Source organism: Homo sapiens, chromosome 1, assembly GCF_000001405.40.
Source record: "Homo sapiens chromosome 1, GRCh38.p14 Primary Assembly".
NCBI lineage: Eukaryota > Metazoa > Chordata > Mammalia > Primates > Hominidae > Homo > Homo sapiens.
Genome location: NC_000001.11, coordinates 45,508,699 through 45,532,977, shown reverse-complemented (window position 1 = coordinate 45,532,977; position 24,279 = coordinate 45,508,699). Strand labels below are relative to the sequence as shown.

Below are 24,279 nucleotides of genomic sequence, written 5' to 3'. Positions count from 1 at the left end.
TACAAAAAATTAGCCTGGTGTGGTGGCGAGCTCCTGTAATCCCAATTTCTCAGAAGGTTGAGACAGGAGGATTGCTTGAACTCTGGAGGCGGAGGTTGCAGTGAGCAGAGATGGTGACACTGGACTCCAGCCCGGGCAACAAGAGCAAAACTCCATCTCAAAAAAAAAAAATTTTTTTTTCAAATTAGCCAGGCGTGGTGGCACCCATCTATAGTCCCAGCTACTCAGGAGCCTGAGGTAAGAGGATTGCTTGAGCCCAAGAATTCCAGGCTGCAGTGAGCTATGATGGTGCCACTGCACTCCAGCCTGGGCAACAGAGCAAGACTCCGTCTCTAGAAAAACTAAAAGATAATGTGTAAAGACACATTTAGTAGTGTGTTAACTATACAAAAAAGACACTGTATAGTTTAAAAACAAATCCTACACAGCCTTACTTTTCAATTTTTTTCTTTTTTTTTTTTTTTTTGAGATGAAGTCTCGCTCTGTCGCCTACGCTGGAGTGCAATGGCGCGATCTCAGCTCACTGCAATCTCTGCCTCCCGGATTCAAGTGATTCTCATGACTCAGCCTCCCGAGTACCTGGGATTGCAGGCACACACCACCATGCCCAGCTAATTTTTGTATTTTTGTAGAGATGGGGTTTCGCCATTTTGGCCAGGCTGGTCTTGAACTCCTGACCTCAGGTGATCTGCCCACTTTGGCCTCCCAAAGTGTTGGGATTACAGACAGGCATGAGCCACCGCGCCCGGCATCAATTTTTTCTTTAAAGGGAGTAATTTGTATACAGAAGGGTTAAATGCTTTTTAGACAGAAAAAAAAATGTGATAGAACCAACTTATTAATCATCTTCATCTTCCTCCTCCTCATCTTCCTCATCTTTCTCCTCTTCCTTCTTTCTCTTTCGTTTTTTCAGCCTTGACGACTCCCTTTTTTGCTATATCAGGCTTTCCTTTAGCTTGATATGCAACAATTTCCATTTCCTATTTTTCCTTTAGCTTCTCAGCCTTCTTTTCATAAGGCTACTTGCCATCCACAGCAGTGTTTTTTTGGTCATTGTTTTTTGAGACAGAGTCTCACTCTATTGCCCAGGCTGGAGTGCAATGGTGCGATCTCTGCTCACTGCAACCTCCGCCTCTCGGGTTCAAGCGATTCTCCTGCCTCAGCCTCCCGAGTAGTTGGGATTACAGGCGTGCACCACCACGAGTGGCCAATTTTTGTATTTTTAGTACAGACAGGGCTTCACCATGTTGGCCAGGATGGTCTCGAACTCCTGACCTCGTGATCTGCCCACCTCGGCCTCCCAAAGTACTGGGATTACAGGCGTGAGACACCATGCCCGACTGCAGCAGTGTTATTCCACATCTCTCCCAATTTCTTTGCAACATCACCAATGAATAGGCCTGGGTGTTCTTTGATTTTTGGGCAATACTCAGAACAGAAAGACAAAAAGGCTACAGGAGGCCTTTTGGATGCACTGGGATCTTTGAACTTCTTTTTATCTCCCCTTTACGGGGGACATAGGTTTTCATTTCTTTTTTATAACGGGCCTTGTCCACCTTTGCCATGTCTTCAAATTTTCCTTTCTCTTTAGCAGATACAGTTTTCTACCTCTCTGAGCACTCTTAGAAAATGCTGGCTGGGCGTGGTGGCTCACGCCTATAATCCTAGCACTTTGGGAGGCTGAGTCGGGTGGATCACCTGAGGTCAGGAGTTCGAGACCAGCCTGGCCAACATGGCAAAAACCCTGTCTCTACTAAAAATACAAAAATTAGCCAGGCATGGTGGCGCACACCTGTAATCCCAGCTACTCAGGAGGCTGAGGCAGGAGAATCACTTGAACCCGGGAGGCAGAGGTTGCAGTGAGCCAAGATCGCGCCACTGCACTTCAGCCTGCGCGATGGGAGCAAGACTCCATCTAAAAAAAAAAAAAAAAAAACTCTGAGAAGCTGACTGAAGCCTCTGGGTGCTTATGTTCCTCCCGACAAGTTTTGCACGAAAAATGCATATGATGACATTTTGCCTCTAGGTTTCTGAGGATCTCCTTTGCTCATGTCTAGTTATTTTTCCTCAGTGAGGCACAGAGTCACCCTGTGCCTGTCAGGCTCTCACTTGCCCTGGTGCTGTCTCTATGGAGCTTAACATACTGTAACAGCTGTCTACTTCTTTTTTTTTTTTTTTTTTTTGAGACAGAGCCTTGCTCTGTAGCCCAGTCTGGAGTGCAGTGGCATGATCGCCTCCCGGGTTTAAGCGATTATCCTGCCTCAGCCTCCAGAGTAGCTGGGATTACAGGTGTCCACCACCACGCCTGGCTATTTTTTTTGTATTTTTAGTAGAGACGAAGTTTCACCATGTTGGCCACGCTGGTTTAGAACTCCTGACCTCAAGTAATCTGCCTGCCTCGGCCTCCCAAAGTGCTAGGATTACAGGCGTGAGCCACTGTGCCCTGCCTTACTTGCTTTTTATCATTTTGTTTTGCTTTTTTTTTGTTGAGGCAGGGTCTTGCTCTGTTGCTCAGGCTGGAGTGCAGTGGTGCATTCATGGCTCACTGTGGCCTAAACCCCCTAGATTCAATCAATTCTCTCATCTCAGCCTCCTGGGTAGCTGGGACTACAGGCATGCGTCATCATGTTTGGCTATTTTTTGTTTGTTTGTTTAATTTTTTGTAGAGATGGGTACCCCTATGTCGCCCAGGCTGGTCTCCAACTCCTGAGCTCAAATGATCCTCTCATCTCGGCCTCCCAAAATGCTGGGATTACAACCATGAGCCACTCCACCTGGCCCTGTCTACTTGCTTTTTTTTTTTTTTTTTTTTTTTTGAGACGGAGCTCGTCTTGTTGCCCAGGCTGGAATGCAAATGGCGCGATCTTGGCTCACTGCAACCTCCACCTCCCAGGTTCAAGCCATTCTCCTGCCTCAGCCTCCCGAGTAGTTGAGATTACAGGCATGTACCATCACGTCCGGCTAATTTTGTATTTTTCGTAGACACGGGGTTTCTCCATGTTGGTCAGGCTGGTCTTGAGCTCCCAACCTCAAGTGATCCACCCGCCTCGACCTCCCAAAGTGCTGGGATTACAGGCGTGAGCCACTGTGCCCGGCCCTGTCTCCTTGTTAAATGGGAAAAATTAATCCCCTATTTGGTTAAGCTTGTTATTTGCAGTTAATCTGTTACTTTCAGTTGCATTCAATTTTAACAAATAGATATCCTTGATAACAGTGTTTCTGAAATTGGTATTTGTAGGCCTCTGTACATTCAAATATAATTTTAAAAATTGAATCCTTGTAAATTGAAGAATTCAACTGTTTTCTTTTAGTGATAATCTAAAAAAATTTAACATAAACATATTCTAAATCATCTGTATGAAAAATAAGCCCGGTAGTGGTGACTCAGCCTGTAATCCCAGTACTTTGAGAGGCCGAGATGGGTGAATCCCTTGAGACCAGGAGTTCGAAACCAGACTGGACAACATGGCGTAACCCTGTCTCTATTAAAAATACAAAAATCAGTCAGGCATGGTGGCACATACCTGTAATTCCAGCTACTTGGGAGGCTGAGGCACAAGAATCACTTGAACCCAGGAGGTGGAGGTTGCAGTGAGCCGAAACCATGCTGCTGCACTCCAGTCTGGGCAGCAGAGCAAGACTCTGTCTCAAAAAAAATAAAATAAATAAAAGAAAAATGAGTGCTGTCTTGTGATTTGGGTTCCCATTATTTTATTTTATTATTTTTTGAGACAGGGTCTCACTCTGCTCACTCTGTCACCCAGGCTGGAGTACAGTGGTGCCATCTCGGCTCACTGCAGCCTCGAGCTCTGGGACTCAAGCAATCCTCCCACCTCAGCCTCTGGACTAGTTAGGACCACAGGCACACACCACCACACTGGGCTAATTTTTTATTTTTTGTGGAGATGGTGAAGGGGTGGGTTGCCCCTCCACACCTGTGGGTGTTTCTTGTTAGGTGGAACGAGAGACTTGGAAAAGAAAAAGACACAGAGACAAAGTATAGAGAAAGAAATAAGGGGACCCAGGGGACCAGCGTTCAGCATATGGAGGATCCCGCCAGCCTCTGAGTTCCCTTAGTATTTATTGATCATTTGTGGGTGTTTCTCGGAGAGGGGGATGTGTCAGGGTCACAAGACAATTGTGGGGAGAGGGTCAGCAGACAAACACGTGAACAAAGGTCTTTGCATCATAGACAAGGTAAAGAATCAAGTGCTGTGCTTTTAGATATGCATACACATAAACATCTCAATGCTTTACAAAGCAGCATTGCTGCCCGCATGTCCCACCTCCAGCCTTAAGGAGGTTTTTCCCTATCTCAGTAGATGGAACGTACAATCGGGTTTTATACCGAGACATTCCATCGCCCAGGGACGGGCAGGAGACAGATGCCTTCCTCTTGTCTCAACTGCAAGAGGCATGCCTTCCTCTTATACTAATCCTCCTCAGCACAGACCCTTTACGGGTGTCGGGCTGGGGGACGGTCAGGTCTTTCCCTTCCCACGAGGCCATATTTCAGACTATCACATGGGGAGAAACCTTGGACAATACCTGGCTTTCCTAGGCAGAGGTCCCTGCAGCCTTCCGCAGTGTTTGTGTCCCTGGGTACTTGAGATTAGGGAGTGGTGATGACTCTTAAGGAGCATGCTGCCTTCAAGCATCTGTTTAACAAAGCACATCTTGCACAGCCCTTAATCCATTTAACCCTGAGTTTGACACAGCACATGTTCCAGAGAGCACGGGGTTAGGGGTAAGGTCATAGATTAACAGAATCTCAAGGCAGAAGAATTTTTCTTAGTACAGAACAAAATGGAGTCTCCTATGTCTACTTCTTTCTACACAGACACAGTAACAATCTGATCTCTCTTGCTTTTCCCCCACAGATGGAGTTTCGCCATGTTGTCCAGGTTGATCTCAAATTCCTGGGCTCAAGTGATCTGCCCACCTCGGTCTCCCAAAGTGCTGGCTTTACAGGCATGCACCACCATGCCCGGCGTCCATTATTTTATTTTGCATTTGTTGTTACAATTATCTGAGAGCATTTAGTTTCATGGTTTATAGGTTTAATTTTAATGGTTTATAAGTTTATAGCAGGCTGCTATCAGGTTAGCAAGTCCTACTGTTAAAATGATTGCTGTCCTGGGACATGGGCTTTATACTTACATTGAATTGCCTTACCTTTTACATTTAGTTGGCTGTGAAGAAGAGACAATGGCTGTTGATGAGTCAGGTAACTGTCTCCCACAGCAAATTAGTGCAGTGATGTAACTACTGCTTTTTTTTTTTTTTGAGACGGAGTCTTGTTCTGTTGCCCAGGCTGGAGTGTAGTGGTGCGATCTTGGCTCATTGCAACCTCTGCTCCTGGGTTCAAGCAATTCTCCTGCCTCAGCCTCCCAAGTAGCTGGGATTACAGGGGCACACTGCCACACCCGGTTAATTTTTTTTTTTTTTTTTGTATTTTAGCAGAGACGGGGTTTCACCATGTTGCCCAGGCTGGTCTTGAACTCCTGAGCTCAGACAATCTACCTGCCTCGGCCTCCCAAAGTGCTGAGATTACAGGCATGAGCCACCACACCCGGCATTTTTTTTTTTTTTTTTGAGATGGAGTCTCGCTCTTGTCATCCAGGCTGGAGTGCAGTGGTGCCATCTTGGCTCACTGCAACCTCCGCCTCCCGGGTTCAATCACTTGTCCTGCCTCAGCCTCCCAAGTAGCTGGGACTACAGGTGCCCACCACCATGCCCAGCTGATTTTTGTGTTTTTAGTGGAGACGGGGTTTCACCATGTTGGCCAGGCTGATATCGAACTCCTGACCTCAGATGATCCTCCTGCCTTGGCCTCCCAAAATGTTGGGATTACAGGCGTGAGCCACCGCTCCCGGCCTGTTTAACATTATTTTAAACCTCAAACCTGCTTTTCTTCCAGTGTTTCCTATGTCACAGGTTAATGACATCACTCATGTCACCAAGAAACTGGATTTAATTTACTCTTTCCTTTCATCCTAAATCCAATTAATCCTAAAGCCTGAAGAAATATACCTTGTATTTCCTTCTTTCTACCCTGCTGCTAATGTCATATTACAGTTCTGAGACTTCTCTTGTCTGGATCATTGCCGTGGCCTCCCAATTGCTCTCTTTGCCTAATCTCCTAGTCACTAAATTCATTCATCACACAGCTTCCAGAGTCAACTTCCTGAAACGTAGTTCAAATAATTTAATTCTACATCTCAAAAGTCTTCAACACATTGTAACATTTATTAAGTACTTCTATGCCAGTTACTGTGCTAGACTTGTTACTACAAATATAAATAAAACAAGGGGAATAATTCCCATGCTAATGGTGAGCAAATGAAGAGAGCACAATGGAATATATCTAAAAATAGAACTAGAGGTATACATCAGACCCTGCAAGAAAGCCTCCTCCCCATGGTTCTGAAATCTTTACTGTCCTTTGGAGAGACTCTACAAATCACTTAGACTTGTTCAACAGATTTCTTCTTTTTTCAGTACTCTGTCCAGTTATTTCACTTTTATGATCTTAAGGGGATAGACTGTTAACATTTCTCTAGGCTAGGATAACTCTTTTTTTTTCCTGTTTTTTTTTCTTTGTTTGTTTAGAGACTGGTTCTTGCAGCACTGCCTAGGCTGGGCTCAAACTCCAGGGCTCAAGTGATCCTCTCACCTCAGCCTACCAAGTAGCTGGGACTATAGTCACATGCCAAATGTGCTCCACTCTCTTTTAGTTCTTTTTTCTTTTCTTTTTTTCTTTTTTCTTTTTTTTTTTTTTTGAGACAGAGTCTTGCTCTGTTGCCCAGGTTGGAGTGCAGTGGCGGGATCTCAGCTCACTAAAACCTCTGCCTCCCGGGTTCAAGTGATTCTCCTGCTGCAGCCTCCTGAGTAGCTGGGATTGCAAGTGCCTGCCACCACGCCCAGCTAATTTTTGTATTTTTAGTAGAAACAGGTTTTCACCATGTTGGTCAGGCTGGTCTGGAACTACTGACCTCATGATCTGCCCACCTTGGCCTCCCAAAGTGCTGGGATTACAGGCTTGAGCCACCATGCCCGGCTTTTGTTCTTTTTTTTTAGACGGAGTCTCACTCTGTCACTCAGGCTGGAGTGCAGTGGCGCGATCTCGGCTCACTGCAACCTCCGCCTCCTGGGTTCAAGAGATTCTCCTGCCTCAGCCCCCTGAGTAGCTGGGACTACAGGTGCACACCACGAAACCCAGCTAATTTTTGTATTTTTAGTAGAGATGGGATTTCTCCATGTTGGCCAGGCTGGTCTCAAACTCCTGACCTTGTGATCTGCCCGCCTTAGCCTCCCAAAGTGCTGGGATTACAGGCATGAGCCACCGTGCCTGGCCTTGTTCTTGAATTAGAAAAATAAACTCAAGTGCCCAGCCCAATGCCTGGCATATGGTGAATACAATAGGTGGCAATTTTCTTTGGGCTGAAGTATGACTGTATGTACTGTGTATTGGTTTAGCCTGCCCATAGCCAATAACCATCCATTATTAAGCTCTGAACTTTCATGCTGCCCTTGCTCCTGCAAGAAAGAAAGGGGAGTCTCTCTGAGCCTACGCTGGCTGCTGGCTCGGGTGGCTGCCTGATAAAAAAGAATAAAAGTTACATAAAAATTAAAAAAAGGAATAATGCCAACTAACTATTCAGCCTCAGGCAAAGAAGGAAAAAGCAAATAAATCACGTCTATGCAAAGTAGTATGATAAATAACAAAAATTGAGATGCTCAATGAGCATGAGACAGCACTTCCTCATTCATTATCCCACTATAAGGGCCAAGGGAGTTAGTGAGGGAGCTGGGGACAGAGACAGAAACATGATACTATTGATTGAATGCTCACTGACTGAGCTCCTATTTTATATCAGATGCTTTGTTGTGACTTTGGGGACACAGAGACAGATGTCACCCACATCCTACTCTCCAGAAAGTCACTCTAGCAGGCAGAGGAAGAAATGTAAAACTAAAATTGCTTAAAAGATTTTTTTGGCTATACAAGCTATTGTTTGGACACAAAGGAGGGGAATTGTAAATCCTGGGAATGAGTAAAGGTAAGAAACAGCCGGAGAGAAAGTAATGCTGAAAGACATGTTTTCTCCAGGGAAAGAGTTTTCCAGGTTCAAACAAAAGTCTGAAGGCGGCCGGGCTCAGTGGCTCACTCCTGTAATCCCAGCACTTTGGGAGGCTGAGGCAGGTAGATCAACTGAGGTCAGGAGTTTGAGACCAGCCTGGCTGACATACTGAAACCCCGTCTCTACTAAAAATACAAAAAATTAGCCGGGCGTGGTGGTGGGCGCCTGTAATCCCAGCTACTTGGGAGGCTGAGGCAGGAGAATTGCTTGAACGCTGGAGGTGGAGGGTGCAGTGAGCAGAAGTCGTGCCATTGCACTCCTGCCTGGGCAAGAAAAGCGAAATTCCATCTTAAAAAAAAAAGTCTGAAGGCTTGAAACAACTACACTGTGTTCTGGGTGTTATAAGTGTGAAGGATGGAAGAGTTATACTAATAGCAGCTAACATTTCTAATTTATAATAAGAACTAAGTACTGTACTGAACTACATAGATAATCACAATAAAGTATTAATATTATTCCCATTTTACAGTTGAGAAAAGTAAGGTTTAATGAGTTTAAGACTTGCCCAAGTTCACACCTAAAATTACAGTGAGGAGTTTTTGTGTTTGTGTGTGTGTGTTTTTTTTTGAGACAGAGTTTCGCTCTTGTTGCCCAGGCTGGAGTGCAATGGCGCTATCTCAGCTCACTGCAACCTCTGCCTCCCTGATTCAAGCGATTCACCTGCCTCAGCCTCCAGAGTAGCTGGGATTACAGACATGCGCCACCACACGTGGCTAATTTTGTATTTTTAGTAGAGATGGGGTTTCTCCACGTTAGGCTGGTCTCGAACTCCTGACCTCAGGTGATCTGCCCTCCTCAGCCTCCCAAAGTGCTGGGATTACAGACATGAACCACCGCGCCCGGCCCTGACAGTGAGGAGTTTTAACTCAGTAAATTGACTACAGAGCCTCAGCTTTTATTTTATTTTTTATTTTTCTTTTCTTTTTAAATTTTACTTTCTTTCTTTCTTTAGCCCCAGCTTTTAAACCACGAATAACAGTGACATGATCAGACTTCAGAAAGATTTCCTTCAGCTGCAGTGGAAGGGATGGATAAGAGATAGTGTTAATTGAAATGAGTGACTAAACTGACTAAACCATGTCACAGACACTTTTGTGGCTGTTTCTTCCCCAGCTTTTAAACCACGAATAACAGTGACATGATCAGACTTCAGAAAGATTTCCTTCAGCTGCAGTGGAAGGGATGGATAAGAGATAGTGTTAATTGAAATGAGTGACTAAACTGACTAAACCATGTCACAGACACTTTTGTGGCTGTTTCTTCCCAAGAGGTTCTCAGGAGGTTTTTAGTATTTATACATTTTCCTTGAAAAGTGGGGGTGGGAAAGATTGAGGCAAAGACTTTAGCTAATGCTCAGGAAATCTACGTTTTGTTTTTTGAGACGGAGTCTTGCTCTGTTGCCAGGCTGGAGTGCAGTGGTGCTCTCGGCTCACTGCAACCTCTGCCTCCGGGTTCAAGCGATTCCCCTGCCTCAGCCTCCCAAGTAGCTAGGACTACAGGCGCGCCACCACACTCGGCTAAGTTTTTGTATTTTAGCAGAGACAGGGTTTCACCATGTTGGCCAGGATGGTCTCGATCTCCTGACCTTATGATCCGCCCTCCTAGGTGGCCTAAATCTACATTTTTACATAAGATAAGGTGAATGTTTGAAGAAAAAGGGAATGGAGGAAGAAAACAATTATGTGGTGGACTCAGGGTAATCTAGTAGTAAGGTACTACTAGAAAGGTAGAAAGTAGTCTAGTAGAAAGGTAATCTAGTAGTGAACATTTATGGAATTTGTGGAATAGAGGCCAGGTGCGGTGGCTCGCGCTTACATTCCTAGCACTTTGGGAGGCCAAGGCGGGCGGATCACCTGAGGTCAGGCGTTGGAGACCAGCCTAGCCAACATGATGAAACCTCGTCTCTACTAAAAATACAAAAAATTAGCTGGGCGTGGTGGTGCGTGCTTGTAGTCCCAGACACTCCGGAGGTGAGGCGGGAGAATCGCTTGAGCCCGGGAGGTGGAGGTTGCAGTAAGCCAACACCGTGCCACTGCACTACAGCCTGGGCGACAGGGTGAGTGAGACTCCGTCTCAAAAAAATGTGGAATAGAACAAACTTTAGTTTTAGGAACTAGACTTTATATTGTAGATCTAGTTGCAATTGACACGTCCTTGTTTTATGGGAGGCTACATACTTTAAAGGTTTCCAGGGGAGCAAATAATTAATTATGATTTTGTGTATGTGTGTTTGTGGGGGGTAGTCATCAGGAAATGTCTGAGGCCTTTTGCCTTACCGTGTGGGTCTGGCTAATGTGTAATGTTTTGACTCAAGATTGTAAAGTCAAATTATTCATCCGGGGAGAGGATGGTCGTGTAACTGAATCAGCCTCCCAAGATGAACTTTCCCTCTGGCGTAAGTTTAGGAGTCCTGATATTTTATTTTCCTTTACAACAGAAAGCAGCAACCCTGTAATTAAAGAGAACAATGAAGGAAGCTATCTAAGCCATGAGGGTTACTGAGGATCTGCGCTGGGGTTAAGGCTGCGAACTTAAGAAATATTTGGATAGACAGTTCTCATGGCTTGGTGTGGTTAGACGTGGTCCTCCGTGGGCAGCAGCTAAGACGCTTACTCCAGTTTGGGCATTGAGGGCACAGTGCGTAGTGGTCCTGGAAGTAAAGAGAATCCTGGTTTTCCGCAGAGATCTAGGATTAACCTAAGCGTTCGGGTTCGGGAGCGGCCACAAGGGCGCCTCACTCCAACCTCAGCCATCCGCAACAGGGTGGGGTATTAGTATTTTTCCGCACCCGCCCCAACGAGGGAAAGCGCCGAGTCATTCCGGCGGGGCGCGCCGGGCGGGGCTCGGGCCACATCCCCCTCCTCTCTCTCCTCCTCCGGCACCCCCGTCCGTTCCGACTCTCGCGAGATCCCTACTGGCTATAAAGGCAGCGCCCCGGAGAGCTCTTGCGCGTCTTGTTCTTGCCTGGTGTCGGTGGTTAGTTTCTGCGACTTGTGTTGGGACTGGTGAGTGTGGGCAGTGCGGCCCCTGCGGAGTGAGGCGCGGCGCGCCCTTCTTGCCTGTTGCCTCTTCCTCCTCCTGTCCGGGGCCCGCCCGCGCTCGGGTGGGGGTGCTGTGATGCGTGAGGCAGCCGGGGGAGGCCCGGAGTCCGAGACTGCTTGAGCGCTGCGCACACCCCTCTCGTGGGCCCCCCACGTAGGTGCGGGAACCTGGTTGAACCCCAAGGCAAGCGTGGACTCGAGTCGAGTCTTCCCCCGGCAACTCGAGCACGTGGCGCGGCGTCTGGGCGGGCTGGTGGTGGGGGTCTCCGAGACTAGCCTCCTGCCGGACGGGGTGGGTTCGGGAAGCTTCTGGAATGGACCTGTATCCAGACTCGTGGCTGTAGAAGACAGCCTCTATGTATTTGGCTGTTCCGGGTCCTGAGCCTTGACTAGCTGCGGAGCTTCGGGTACCCTTTCCCCGTCTTTATTTTCCTGTACGTGGAATGGAGTTAGCGATGAGCCCAAATGTCCCCGCTGAAGCACTCTCTCTGCTGGTGCTTTCTCCAGTGCTGGGGAGGGACAGGGGGCACCTGAAGTGGGGTTTAGGGATGTGGCCCTCTACGCTGGGCAGATCCCCTGAAGGGGCCCGGTGGCGGCCTGAATCCCAGCAGCCTTTACCCCGAATTGGTTGGGTTTTGTACTTGGGGGCCACTTGGGAAAGAAGGATTGGACGAGAAGGCCATTTGGGGGCACCAAGTTGCAGCATGCCTTAGTTTTTGGTTTTTGTTTTTTGTCGTTAAAGGTGTTAAGGACTTTTTAAAAAACAGTTAAAAGTTTGCTAAGATCCATGCTTACAAAATTTCTTTTGCTTGTGGTATTGTGAACTAAGAACTTTGGGACTTGGAAAAGCTTTCAGACCGCGGCTTAGTGGGTTAAATCTCTGTTTTTTGAGCTAGAGTCTCGCTCTGTCGGCCAGGCTGGAGTGCAGTGGCGCGGTCTCGGCTTACTGCAACCCCTGTCTCCCGAATTCAAGCAATTCTTCTGCCTCAGCCTTAGGAGTAGCTGGGATTACAGGCTTGTGCCACCAAGCCCCGGCTAATTTTTGTATTTTTTTTTTTTTTTTTTTTTTGAGACGGAGTCTCGCTCTGTCGCCCAGGCTGGAGTGCAGTGGCTGGATCTCGGCTCACTGCAGCCTCCGCCTCCCGGGTTCACGCCATTCTCCTGCCTCAGCCTCCCGAGTAGCTGGGACTGCAGGCGCGTGCCACCACCCCCGGCTAATTTTTTGTATTTTTGTTAGAGACGGGGTTTCACTATGATGGCCAGGCTGGTCTCGAACTTCTGACCTCAGGTGATCTGCCTGCCTCGGCCTCCCAAAGTGCTGGGATTACAGGCTTGAGCCACAGCGCTTGGCCAAGATCTCAATACTAATCTTGGTGTTGATCTGGGTGAATCCAGTGCAACCTTCCTTTTCAGCAGTAAATTGATTCTTATACTTGTTTTCGCCCTGGGATATTAGCCCCAAAGTCAGGAACCCACCTTCACAAATGGTGAAGGGAATTCTAGGGCTTACACAATACCTAAAGATTTGAAATTAAGCAGATGCCAATCAATATCTTGGTCTTGCCTCTTTTTTTTTTTTTTTTTTTTGGAGACAGAGTCTCACTCTGTTGCCCAGGCTGGAGTGCAGTGGCGCGATCTCAGCTTACTGCAACCTCTGCCTCCCGGGTTCAAGTGATTCTCCTGCTTCAGCCTCCTGAGTAGTTGCGATTACAGGCATGCACCACCACGCCCGACTAATTTTTGTGTTTCTAGTAGAGACGGGGTTTCACCATGTTGGCCAGACTGGTCTCGAACTCCTGACCCGGTGATCCGCCCGCCTGAGCCTCTCAAAGTGCTGGGATTACAGGTGTGAGACACTGCGCCCAGTGGTCTTGCCTCTTAAAAGTTGGACTGACTGGAAGGGCGCGGTGGCTCACGCCTGTAATCCCAGCATTTTGGGAGACTGAGTTGGGCAATCATCTGAGGTGAGGAGTTTGAGACTAGCCTGACCAACATGGAGAAATCCCGTCTCTAATAGAAGTACAAAAAAATTAGCCGGGTGTGGTGGCCTGCGCCTGTAATCCCAGCTACTATGGAGGCTGAGGCAGGAGAATCCCTTGAACCTGAGAGGTGGAGGTTGCAGTGAGCCGAGATAATGCCATTGCATTCCAGCCTGGGCCCCAAGAGCGAAACTCCGTCAAAAAAACAAAACAAAACAAAAACAAATAAAACAAGTTGAATTAGTTATAGGTTGTGTGCTGTCTTGGACAAAGCTACCTGGAGAAAAGTCAAATATGCTTCTGATGTTATGAAGGCAGGTGGAGGCACAGTGATGGGAAAGGTCAACGTGACTTTTGGGGAGCCAAACAAAAGTGTTTGTGGCATTGTGCATTTGGATTCTGGTTTGAGAGTCTTCATCTGCCTCTCTCTCTGCTTCTGTATAATGAATAAGATGCCACTGCACTAATTATGGTTCAGAAAGAATGAGAGGTTATCTCAGTATATAAAGAAATTGCCTTGCTGTTTTTAAATGAAAACAAAGGCTGAGATTCAGAGACTTGTTTCGTTCCAAAAGTTGGAAAGCTCAGACTGTGACCCTTGACTGCTGGCTGGAGCTTCTTACTAAAACAACATTTAATGTATTCAGGGACACTGGACAATGCCTTGATTGTTTACAGCTAAGTCTCTTTAAGTAGGTGAAGGCTGCTGGTTATGTAGAAAATTAAGGCTTGTTTCTAATTCATTTCTGTTATTTCTAGCTGATAGGAAGATGTCTTCAGGAAATGCTAAAATTGGGCACCCTGCCCCCAACTTCAAAGCCACAGCTGTTATGCCAGATGGTCAGTTTAAAGATATCAGCCTGTCTGACTACAAAGGTGAGAGAATTAACACTGGGCTCATTGAGATGGAGTTATTTTATATTCTAGGGGTGGCTTGTTAGATTTGTGTCAATGTTGTTTGACTGTAAAATGTTTTGTCTCCTAGGAAGAAGTATTTAGGTTGTTACCTTCATGTTGAAGTGGTGATTATCAAGTGATTACAGGGTATATATCCTAGGACCAAACCACTTCTGGAGAAACCACATGCTTCATTATGTCTGGACATACTAGCTCAATTATCTTTTCAGTATTCCTCGTCTATTTTCTTTCTTTATTTTTATTTTTGAGACAGGGTCTCATTCTGTCACCCAGGCTGGAGTGCAGTGGCGCAGTCATGGCTCACTGCAGCCTCTACCTCTCTGGGCTCAGGTGGTCCTCCTACCTCAGCCTCCCAAGTAGCTGGGACTGTAGGGGCATGCTGCCATGCCTGGCTAATTTTTGTACTTTTTTTTTTTTTTTTTTTTTTTGAGATGGAGTTTTGCTCTTGTTGCCCAGGCTAGAGTGCAATGGCGTGATCTCGGCTCACCACAACCTCCACTGCCCAGGTTCAAGCAATTCTCCTGCCTCAGCCTCCCGAGTAGCTGGGATTACAGGCATGCGCCATCATGCCTGGCTAATTTTTTTTTGTATTTTTAGTAGAGACGGGGTTTCTCCATGGTGGTCAGGCTGGTCTCGAACTCCTGACCTCAGATGATCCGCCCACCTCGGCGTCCCAAAATGCTGGGATTACAGGCATGAGCCACCACGCCTGGCTTAATTTTTGTACTTTTTGTAGAGCTGGGCGCCATGTTGCCCAGGCTGGTCTCCAACTCCTGGGCTCAAGCCCTCTGCCTGCCCTAGCCTTTCAAAGTGCTGGGATAACAGGTGTGAGCCACTGCCTCTGGCCCTCCTCTATTTTATTATTGGAGAAATACTCATTATCTCTTGTTATAAGAGACATTCTACATTTAAAGTCTCAGAGCTCACTCAAATCTCTGGAGCTGTGACACTGCTCGTTCAGTTTGTTTGGGTCACGTATATATCACAGCTGTTAATATTAGGCTGAGGGCTAGGCACTTTCCCTTGCCTGTTTTGACCCCGGAGGAGAGTTGATATTACAGATGGAACAACTCTCCTTTCTGTTGTCATAGTTTTTTTTTTTTTTTTTTTTTTTGAGACGGAGTCTCGCTTTGTCGCCCAGGCTAGAGTGCAGTGGTGCGATCTCAGCTCACTGCAAGCTCCGCCTTCTGGGTTCATGCCATTCTCAGGCCTCAGCCTCTTGAGTAGCTGGGACTACAGGCGCCCGCAACCATGCTTGGCTAATTTTTTTGTATTTTTAGTAGAGACGGGGTTTCACCATGTTTGCCAGGATGGTCTCGATCTCCTGACCTTGTGATCCGCCTGCCTTGGCCTCCCAAAGTTCTGGGATTACAGGCGTGAGCCACTGCGCCCGGCCTCTGTTGTCATAGTTTCATGCAGACACTTGGCAAGTTCTGTTGAGGCTCCTCCTTTCTTTACCTTGTAGTTCCAGAGCAGCTCGATCTCCTGGGACAGTTGAGGATATAGATTCCTTAGAATGCTAACCTGAAACTCAGGTGTCAAGTGTCCTTTTCTCAGTGGTGTAGCATTAGTCCCTGGAGTTAGTTTTTGGTAGAACATTTGACTAGGTTTCCTGACATAATCACACTTTGTTCTTGGGGCTTCTCCCAGCAAACAAGGTAAGTTGCACCATAGGGAGGTGACCTGGGCCCAGGGGTATAAGCAGGAGGTCTAGGAGGAGCTGTTCTCTGCCCTCCAGAGCTTGACCTGCTGAGGCCCCAAAGTGCTTGTTAGGCAAAGCTGGAAGGGTTGTTTAGATGAGTTAGTTTCCAGTGATACTGCAAAGTGGTAAATGTCAAAAAGGGCTGCTTGTTTGGCTTTTTTTTTTTTTTTTTGAGGTGGAATTTTGATCTTGTCGCACAGGCTGTAGTGCAGTGGCATGATCTCAGGTCACTGCGACCTCCATCTCCCCGGTTCAAGTGATTCTCCTGGCTCAGCCTCCCCAGTAGCTGAGATTTCAGGCCCCCGCTGTCACACCCAGCTAATTTTTGTATTTTTAGTAGAGACATGTTTTACCATGTTGGTCAGCCTGGTCTTGAACTCCTGACCTCAGGTGATCCACCCGCCTCGGCCTCCCAAACTGCCTCCCAAACTGCTGGGATTACAGACGTCAGCCACCATGCCACCACACCCAGCCTGTTTGACTTTTCAAACATTGCTGCTACCTGGAAATGAGTGAATATTTGGAATTGTTCTAGTATTTAAGCCTGGTGGGTGTGGCGAGAAGGCTGCCTGGCCAGTTTGAAGATCTGTTATTTCAGTGGTTAATCCCAGTGACTTCATTAAAATTGCAGCTAGAAGTTCTGTTACTCACTAGTACTTTTGTCTTTTCTGTCTCTCTCTGTCTCCCTCTTTCTCTCTCTCTCTCTGTGTATATGTATATATATATTTCTGTTGTTTTGAGACAGTCTTGCTGTGTTGCCCAGGCTGGCCTCAAACTCCTGGGGTCAAGGGATCCTCCCACCTCAGCCTCCCAAGTAGCTGGGACTACAGACACGCACCACTGTGCCTGGCTTAAAATTTTTCCTGTCCTGTCAGGCACGTTAGGAACACATGTGATCACTTAAACCATGCTTGTTCCATTACTATGGTTCATCACGGGAGAAGTGCAAAGGCTGTGACTTCTTATTGGTGTCTTATCTCTACAGCAGAGGAGTACTGCAATTCAGCTTTCTCTGGGTATTGTTAAGCATTGGCATTAGGCCATGCTTATAAGTGCATCCTTGCTTTTGCTATCTTTGGAGAACTTGGTGTTTATGTTAATTTTAGCCACTCAGAAAAGATCAAAATTAGACTGAACAGTGTTTACTCTGTATTGGTAGCTATGACATGGAGGCAGGAGAATAAAGTATGGGATTGGAAGTTTTTTTCATTCAGGTATTCCTAATGCACCAGGTTCTAAAAGTAGCTTCTAGGAGACATCTGTATTGAGCATCTTGGCAGTTAGTGGTTATTGTGTCAGCCATCAACTTGCTTCTTTTTGTATAGGAAAATATAAAGCAAGGAAGTCTGTGTCAAATGCTAACCATGACTCCGATTTTCCCCCCAGGAAAATATGTTGTGTTCTTCTTTTACCCTCTTGACTTCACCTTTGTGTGCCCCACGGAGATCATTGCTTTCAGTGATAGGGCAGAAGAATTTAAGAAACTCAACTGCCAAGTGATTGGTGCTTCTGTGGATTCTCACTTCTGTCATCTAGCATGGTAAATCTCTTGGTCTATTTGGCATGTGAACTTTTTTTTTTTTTTTTTTTTTTTTGAGATGGAGTCTTGCTTTGTCGCCCAGGCTGGAGTGCAGTGGTGTGATCTCCGCTCACTTCAAGCTCTGCCTCCCAGTTTCACGCCATTCTCCTGCCTCAGCCTCCTGAGTAGCTGGGACTACAGGCGCCTGCCACCATACCTGGCTAATTTTTTGTATTTTCAGTAGAGACGGTGTTTCACCGTGTTAGTCAGGATGTTCTTGATCTCCTGACCTCGTGATCTGCCCACCTCAGCCTCCCAAAGTGCTGGGATTACAGGTGTGAGCCACTGCACCTGGCTGGCATGTGAACTTTTAAAACAGCAACTGGGAAGCTTTGGCAATAGACTTTCAAGTATTGCCTTCTCATTGAAGGGAGTGCAAAGTCTGACTTTCTCTTATTGCTCTCATGACCTGGCAGCAGAGAAGAAGCAGCTTCAATTGCAGTTGAGTGTACCCTAGTGACCTACCTTAACTGTTCTCAGCATTCACTTTATTGCTGGAAAACGGAAAAAAAACAGTCTTTTTGGAAAGTTAGATTAGGAATATGGGAAAGGGGAAAGAGGAATGCGTACAGTCAAGTCAAGAGTTTGAATGTAACTGTATGTTTGCCTTTTGCCATAGGGTCAATACACCTAAGAAACAAGGAGGACTGGGACCCATGAACATTCCTTTGGTATCAGACCCGAAGCGCACCATTGCTCAGGATTATGGGGTCTTAAAGGCTGATGAAGGCATCTCGTTCAGGTATGTCATCAGGACAAGTATCCAGTTGGCTGAAAGCCTTTTATTTGGAGAGATCTAGAGCCCTGATCTGTAGAGACTCCTTGTCATTTCATTCCTTTATGCAGGGGCCTCCTCACTAAGGCCAGGCCAGTAGGAGTGTGGAGACCAGTCCATTTCCTTCAGGCTTCAAGCCTCTGTATTCTAACAAAGCACATCTCTAAACCTGTATTGCTTTTCCTTTCATCTCTTTTCCCAGGGGCCTTTTTATCATTGATGATAAGGGTATTCTTCGGCAGATCACTGTAAATGACCTCCCTGTTGGCCGCTCTGTGGATGAGACTTTGAGACTAGTTCAGGCCTTCCAGTTCACTGACAAACATGGGGAAGGTAAGCCATCTGTCTGATAACAGGACAACAGAGTGGTGGTATGAAGGGGTGGGTTGCCCCTTCACACCTGTGGGTGTTTCTCGTTAGGTGGAATGAGAGACTTGGAAAAAGACACGTAGACAAAGTATAGAGAAAGAAATAAGGGGGCCCAGGGGACCAGTGTTCAGCATACAGAGGATCCCGCCGGCCTCTGAGTTCCCTTAGTATTTATTGATCATTCTTGGGTGTTTCTCGGAGAGGGGGATGTGGCAGGGTCATAGGATAATAGTGGAGAGAAGGTCAGCAGATAAACACGTGAACAAAGGTCTCTGCATCATGAACAAGGTAAAGAATTAAGTGCTGTGCTTTAGATGTGCATACACATAAACATCTCAATGCCTTAAAGAGCAGTATTGCTGCCCGCATGTCCCACCTCCACCCCTGAGGCGGTTTTCCCCTGTCTCAGTAGATGGAACATACAATTGGGTTTTACACTGAGACATTCCATTGCCCAGGGACTGGCTGGAGACAGATGCCTTCCTCTTGTCTCAACTGCAAAGAGGCGTTCCTTCCTCTTTTACTAATCCTCCTTAGCACAGGGTGTCAGGCTGGGGGACCCCGGTCAGGTCTTTCCCTTCCCACGAGGCCATATTTCAGACTATCACATGGGGAGAAACCTTGGACAATACCTGGGTTTCCTAGGCAGAGGTCCCTGTGGCCTTCCGCAGTGTTTGTGTCCCCGGATACTTGAGATTAGGGAGTGGTGATGACTCTTAAAACGAGCATGCTGCCTTCAAGCATTTGTTTTAACAAAGCATATCTTGCACAGCCCTTAATCCATTTAACCCTGAGTTGACACAGCACATGTTTCAGGGAGCACAGGGTTGGGGATAAGGTTACAGATTAACAGCATCTCAAGGCAGAAGAATTTTTCTTAGTACAGAACAAAATGGAGTCTCCTCTGTCTACTTCTTTCTACACAGAGACAGTAACAATCTGATCTCTCTTTTCCCCACAGTGGTAGAATGGGAAAGATAGTAGGAACAGAAGCTACCAAATAAGAAAATGGGTATCTCTCTTCATAAATTGAAGCCCCTGGATTACAGTGTGTTGTGAGGGTGAGGGTAATGGAAAAGCTTGGGAAGGAGAATATAAAGGCTTTTTATTCAAAGTATACATACTCCTCTCTTCTGTCCTGCTCATTTAGAATCAGTCACTCCCAAAGATCTAACTTACTGAATGTAGGATGATCTCACAGATGTATTAGGGCAAAACAAAATGGTTGGGAATCACCTCTAGAGATAAAGCATGCCATTTTTTAAATAACTTTATTGAGAGAAGAGGTTAATCCATATAGTTCATATTTTTATTTATTTATTTATTTTTTGCAAGATGGAGTCTTGCTCTGTTGCCCAGGCTGGAGTGCAGTGGCGCAGTCTTGGCTCACTGCAACCTCCGCCTCCCCTGAGCCATTGCGCCCAGCCCAGACTAGCTTTCTAAGGCCTATTTCAGCTCTGATCTTGTAATTTAAAGGAAATGAAGTTATTAGAGTCTGGATTAGTGGTGTATGTTTGGGAAGACCCAAAGGTGCTAGCTTGGCTAGCACCAAGTAATCTTTTTACAGGGATTAGAGTCTGATTATATAGGGATCAGTGAGCACTGATAACCAAGAGGTACCCTTTGCAGAAGGATGTGTGGGCAGTTAGCCTGGACAGATGACACATGGCTCAGCTGACACCTGCTGAGACTGCCCCCTTGTGGGAGATGAGGTTCAGCATTAAGAAGGAGGCAGCAGTGGCAAAGTAGGCCCTTTAACTGGACTTTCCTAGGAACCTACATATAGGTTAGTCTCCTGAACCCAGGCTTTCATAACTCAGAAGCTTGCTTCTTCAGACTCTGTTGGTCTCTGCTGCTTCCCATCCCACTGGAACATGTACAGCCTCTTAAATAGGTACCATTTAAGAGCCAATGAATGCCAAACACTTTTTTTTTTTGAGACAGAGTCTTGTTTTGTCGCCCAGACTGGAGTGCAGTGGTGTGATCTCAGCTCACTGCAGCCTCCACCTCCTGGGTTCAAGTGATTCTCTTGCCTCAGCCTCCTGAGTAGCTAGGACTACAGGGGTCCACCACCACGCCCCACTATTTTTGTATAGTCCCAGCTACTCGGGAGGCTGAGGCAGGAGAATGGCATGAACCCCGGAGGTGGAGCTTGCAGTGAGCTGAGATCGCGCCACTGCACTCCAGCCTGGGCGACAATGTGAGACTGTCTCAAAAATTAGCCAGGTGTGGTGGTGGGCGCCTGTAATCCTAGCTATTTGGGAGGCTGATGCAGGAGAATCGCTTGAACCCGGGAGACCGAGGTTGCAGTGAGACGGAGGTGGAGATTGCGCCACCGTACTCCAGCCTGGGCAACAGAGGGAGACTCCATCTCAAAAAAAAAAAAAAAAAAAAAAAAAAAGAAAAATAAGAGATTAGTCCCCTTGCCTCATTTTCTTCAGGCTAGCCTGAGGCACATTCTTAGGCATTGTCAGGAAAAGGTTGAAGGCTGTGCTTTCTGTATAAATCTATGAAAAATTTCAAACTCTGCCTTTTGCTTACCAAGGGGTAGATGGCAGTTACTTAATGAAACAAGCGGGGGCTTCTGTTAAGTTCTTGATCCTTTATAAGGTTCAGGCTATCCAGTTTGGTAGAGTTAGAAGAATGCTGAGAAGGCAGACTGAGTTTGCTGTCTTCAGAGCTCTGAAGGGCTGTCAGAAACAGTTTAGTGTTAAGGGTTTACATAGTCCTATGTGTGTCGTTTATTTAGCTTTTTTTTCCCCTTAAGGATTAGAGAGTGTTGGCAAATTATTTAAACTTTGCCTTTTTTTGTGGAAAATTTAAATTTCAAGTGCTACATGAATAAATTAGGCATGATAGTATCTTAAGGCTGTGGTGATGATTATATGTTTGTAAAATGGTTAGCTCATACTAAAAGGGTGAATGATCTAAGACTGATTGCAGGGGTAGGTTTCCTGGTATCTGAGTGTTCAGGTGCAGAACTGGTTTTGTCCATAGGAGAATGGTGGTGCATACCATTGAGAAGGTTATTAATTAGTGGTGCCTTTCTCTTGCAGTGTGCCCAGCTGGCTGGAAACCTGGCAGTGATACCATCAAGCCTGATGTCCAAAAGAGCAAAGAATATTTCTCCAAGCAGAAGTGAGCGCTGGGCTGTTTTAGTGCCAGGCTGCGGTGGGCAGCCATGAGAACAAAACCTCTTCTGTATTTTTTTTTTCCATTAGTAAAACACAAGACTTCAGATTCAGCCGAATTGTGGTGTCTTACAAGGCAGGCCTTTCCTACAGGGGGTGGAGAGACCAGCCTTTCTTCCTTTGGTAGGAATGGCCTGAGTTGGCGTTGTGGGCAGGCTACTGGTTTGTATGATGTATTAGTAGAGCAACCCATTAATCTTTTGTAGTTTGTATTAAACTTGAACTGAGACCTTGATGAGTCTTTATTTTAGGAAGCATATTATTAGCTTTTGATTTTAAGAGGAATTTACTCCTTGCTTTCCCTGTTTTGGGGAAAATGAGGAGAGCTGCCTCCAAATCAGGGAATTATATTGACACAGGTAGATATAGGGAATGGAACTGAATGAACCCAAGGTGTTACATTTTGTTTCACTACACATGAGGGAGAAGAATAAGCCCTGCTATAGTGTTGGCCAGAGCACTGCGACTGACGCCACAGGCTGGGTTACCAGTTAAAGTCTCAGTGTGACTACTTGGACACCTATTTTTGTTTAGACACACTATTCAAAGGGCTGCATGGGAACCAGAAGCTTGGCCTCTTCTGATAAATGCCTGGTACCTGCTATGTAAAAGAGCTGGAGGTTTCTGTTCTTTTTGAACTGACAGAGGAAAGAGGAAGACAAGGCTGGTGGCCTTGGGTAGGGCTTTCGTAGTTGCACAGTACTGGGCAATTCTTAGCCTTCCCTTGGTTCTAGCCTTGATTAGAGATAGTCTTTTTTAGTGTCATTATGTTGCCCAGAGTGGTTCTGAATTCCTTGCCTCAGGCGGTCCTCCGCCTCAGCCTCCCAAAATGGTGGGATTACAGGTGAGCGCCACAGTGCCTGGCCAAAGCTCGTTTTGATCCTCATTCATATGTCATTGTCCTCAGAGAGGCTGTCAGCTGGGAAAAGTTATTCTCCTGGGCCCTTGAGGCCAAGGTAGATTCAGAACTGAGGATACTTCTGTGTATCATGTGATACCATTCCAGCCACTTGTCTTCCTCAGCTACTCCCACCTGCCCACCCCTCTAGAACCGACTACACCCATGAGCAGCAGTACAGAATTCCCAGGGCCTTTGGTAATGGCCAACATACTGCTTACTATATATGCCAGGTATTTTTCCAAAGTGCCTTACACGTGTTTATTCAGTCCCTACCTGAGGTAGGTACTTTTTTTTTTTTTTTTGAGACAGAGTCTCACACTGTCACCCAGGCTAGAGTGCAGCCATGCAATCTCGGCTCACTGCAATCTCTGCCTCCCTGGTTCAAATGATTCTACTGCCTCAGCCTCCTGAGTAGCTGGGACTACAGGCCTGCGCTACCATGCCCGGCTAACTTTGCATTTTTAGTAGAGACGGGGTTTCACTGTATTGGCCAGGCTGGTCTCAAACTCGACCTCATGATCCACCTGCCTCGGCCTCCCAGAGTGCTGGGATTACAGGCGGGAGCCACCACACCCTGCTGGTAGGTACTCTTTAGAGGATATTTGCCCCTTAGGCCCTGTAACAACATCTTGGGGAACTGCTTAGAAATGGGAACAGATAGAGTCTTGGCTGGGTGCGGTGGCTCATTCCTGTAATCCCAGGACTTTGGGAGGCCAAGATGGGTGGATCACGAGGTCAGGAGTTAAAGACCAGCCTGGCCAATATGATGAAACCCCATCTCTACTAAAAATACAAAAAATTAGCCAGGTGTAGTGGCAGGCACCTGTCATCCCAGCTACTCAGGAGGCTGAGGCAGATAATTGCTTGAACCCAGGAGGCAGAGGTTGCAGTGAGTAGAGACTGTGCCACTGCACTCCAGCCTAGGTGACAGAGTAAGACTCTGTCTAAAAAAAAAAAAAAAACTCATTTGAAGGCAGATGGGAATTCTGGTTCCCTGGCCTTTATCTTGGCCAAACCTAACTTCCTTGAGCCTTGTTATCTTCATGGAAGATCTCTACTATATTATCAAAAATAGTAATCTTGTACTCAAAACCTTTTGCTTTGCCAAAGCCAATTAAGTCCTAGCAAGTACCACCATAAATCAGGGTCCACATGGGAGAAAATCAAGGGCCAGGGGATGCAGGTGGTGAGACCCTGGGGCTGAGCCAGCTCCGGGCTCTGCTGGGATTCCCAGGCTTCTTGGGGGCGGGTGTGGTAAAGGGAAGGTCCGGGGAGGGAGAACTAGGCTTCTCTGAGGGCTGAGCCAAGCCCAATAGGGCCAATCGTTGGGCAGGTGGAGTGGAGAAGTAGGCCTTCTGCTCTTCTGAGTAGCGCTCCTGGGGTGTCACAGCATCCCGGTAAGTCCAATCACGCCAGTGGAAATTGAAGCCTTCGAGTAGGGCGATACGGTCAGCTCTTGTAGGTACACAGTCATGAGGTTTTCTGGGTGGCAGATCTGGCACCTCTATCCCTGGCAGCAGCACTACCCCTCGGATGGCAAACCAGCCCCCAAATCGGGGGTGTATGCACACACCTGATATGCGCTGGGGAGAGGGTGAAGAAAAGCAAGGTCATGGAGGTCCCCTTGGCACCAAGTCAACTGCCATCATTGCAAGCTAGGCCTGTTCACTTCCCACTCAG

General features: G+C 46.7%; 2 protein-coding genes and 1 pseudogene across 6 annotated transcripts in view, besides 4 other annotated features; 1 reads left to right on the top strand and 2 right to left on the bottom strand.

Moving 5' to 3' along the window:
• HMGB1P48 (high mobility group box 1 pseudogene 48) lies at positions 357–2,156 on the bottom strand (annotated as a pseudogene).
• Positions 5,416–5,924: an enhancer, noted in NCBI's record as "H3K27ac hESC enhancer chr1:45992726-45993234 (GRCh37/hg19 assembly coordinates)". NCBI's record gives its function as "activates a minimal SCP1, AML or CMV promoter by ChIP-STARR-seq in naive H9 embryonic stem cells {active_cell/tissue: H9 hESC(naive)}" and the evidence as "EXISTENCE:reporter gene assay evidence [ECO:0000049][PMID:30033119]".
• PRDX1 (peroxiredoxin 1) lies at positions 10,088–21,927 on the top strand. Of its 4 annotated transcripts, none has more exons than NM_001202431.2 (6): positions 10,088–10,200; positions 13,924–14,040; positions 17,171–17,324; positions 17,983–18,105; positions 18,341–18,471; positions 21,564–21,927. In NM_001202431.2, the coding sequence occupies exons 2-6, from the start codon at positions 13,935–13,937 to the stop codon at positions 21,647–21,649; spliced, it is 600 nt and encodes a 199-aa protein (NP_001189360.1). In that variant the 5' UTR covers positions 10,088–10,200; positions 13,924–13,934; the 3' UTR covers positions 21,650–21,927. The 4 variants fall into 4 exon arrangements, with proteins under 4 accessions (NP_001189360.1, NP_859048.1, NP_859047.1 ...); NM_181697.3 differs by lacking the exon at positions 10,088–10,200 and adding an exon at positions 11,094–11,149; NM_181696.3 differs by lacking the exon at positions 10,088–10,200 and adding an exon at positions 11,094–11,343.
• Positions 10,616–10,695: an enhancer, noted in NCBI's record as "active region_973". NCBI's record gives its function as "activates an Ori minimal core promoter by ATAC-STARR-seq in GM12878 lymphoblastoid cells {active_cell/tissue: GM12878}" and the evidence as "EXISTENCE:reporter gene assay evidence [ECO:0000049][PMID:35858748]".
• Positions 11,738–11,900: a silencer, noted in NCBI's record as "fragment chr1:45986750-45986912 (GRCh37/hg19 assembly coordinates)". NCBI's record gives its function as "represses an EF-1alpha promoter that drives an FKBP-Casp9 reporter gene in an ReSE screen in K562 erythroleukemia cells {active_cell/tissue: K562}" and the evidence as "EXISTENCE:reporter gene assay evidence [ECO:0000049][PMID:32094911]".
• Positions 19,596–24,279, bottom strand: part of MMACHC (metabolism of cobalamin associated C) — a 13,083-nt gene continuing 8,399 nt past the window's right edge. For both annotated transcript variants that reach the window (NM_001330540.2, NM_015506.3), the window contains exon 4: positions 19,596–24,182. In NM_001330540.2, coding sequence (NP_001317469.1) covers positions 23,763–24,182 — 420 coding nt within the window. In that variant the 3' untranslated portion in view covers positions 19,596–23,762. The remainder of the gene's footprint in view (positions 24,183–24,279) is intronic.
• Positions 23,924–24,013: an enhancer, noted in NCBI's record as "active region_972". NCBI's record gives its function as "activates an Ori minimal core promoter by ATAC-STARR-seq in GM12878 lymphoblastoid cells {active_cell/tissue: GM12878}" and the evidence as "EXISTENCE:reporter gene assay evidence [ECO:0000049][PMID:35858748]".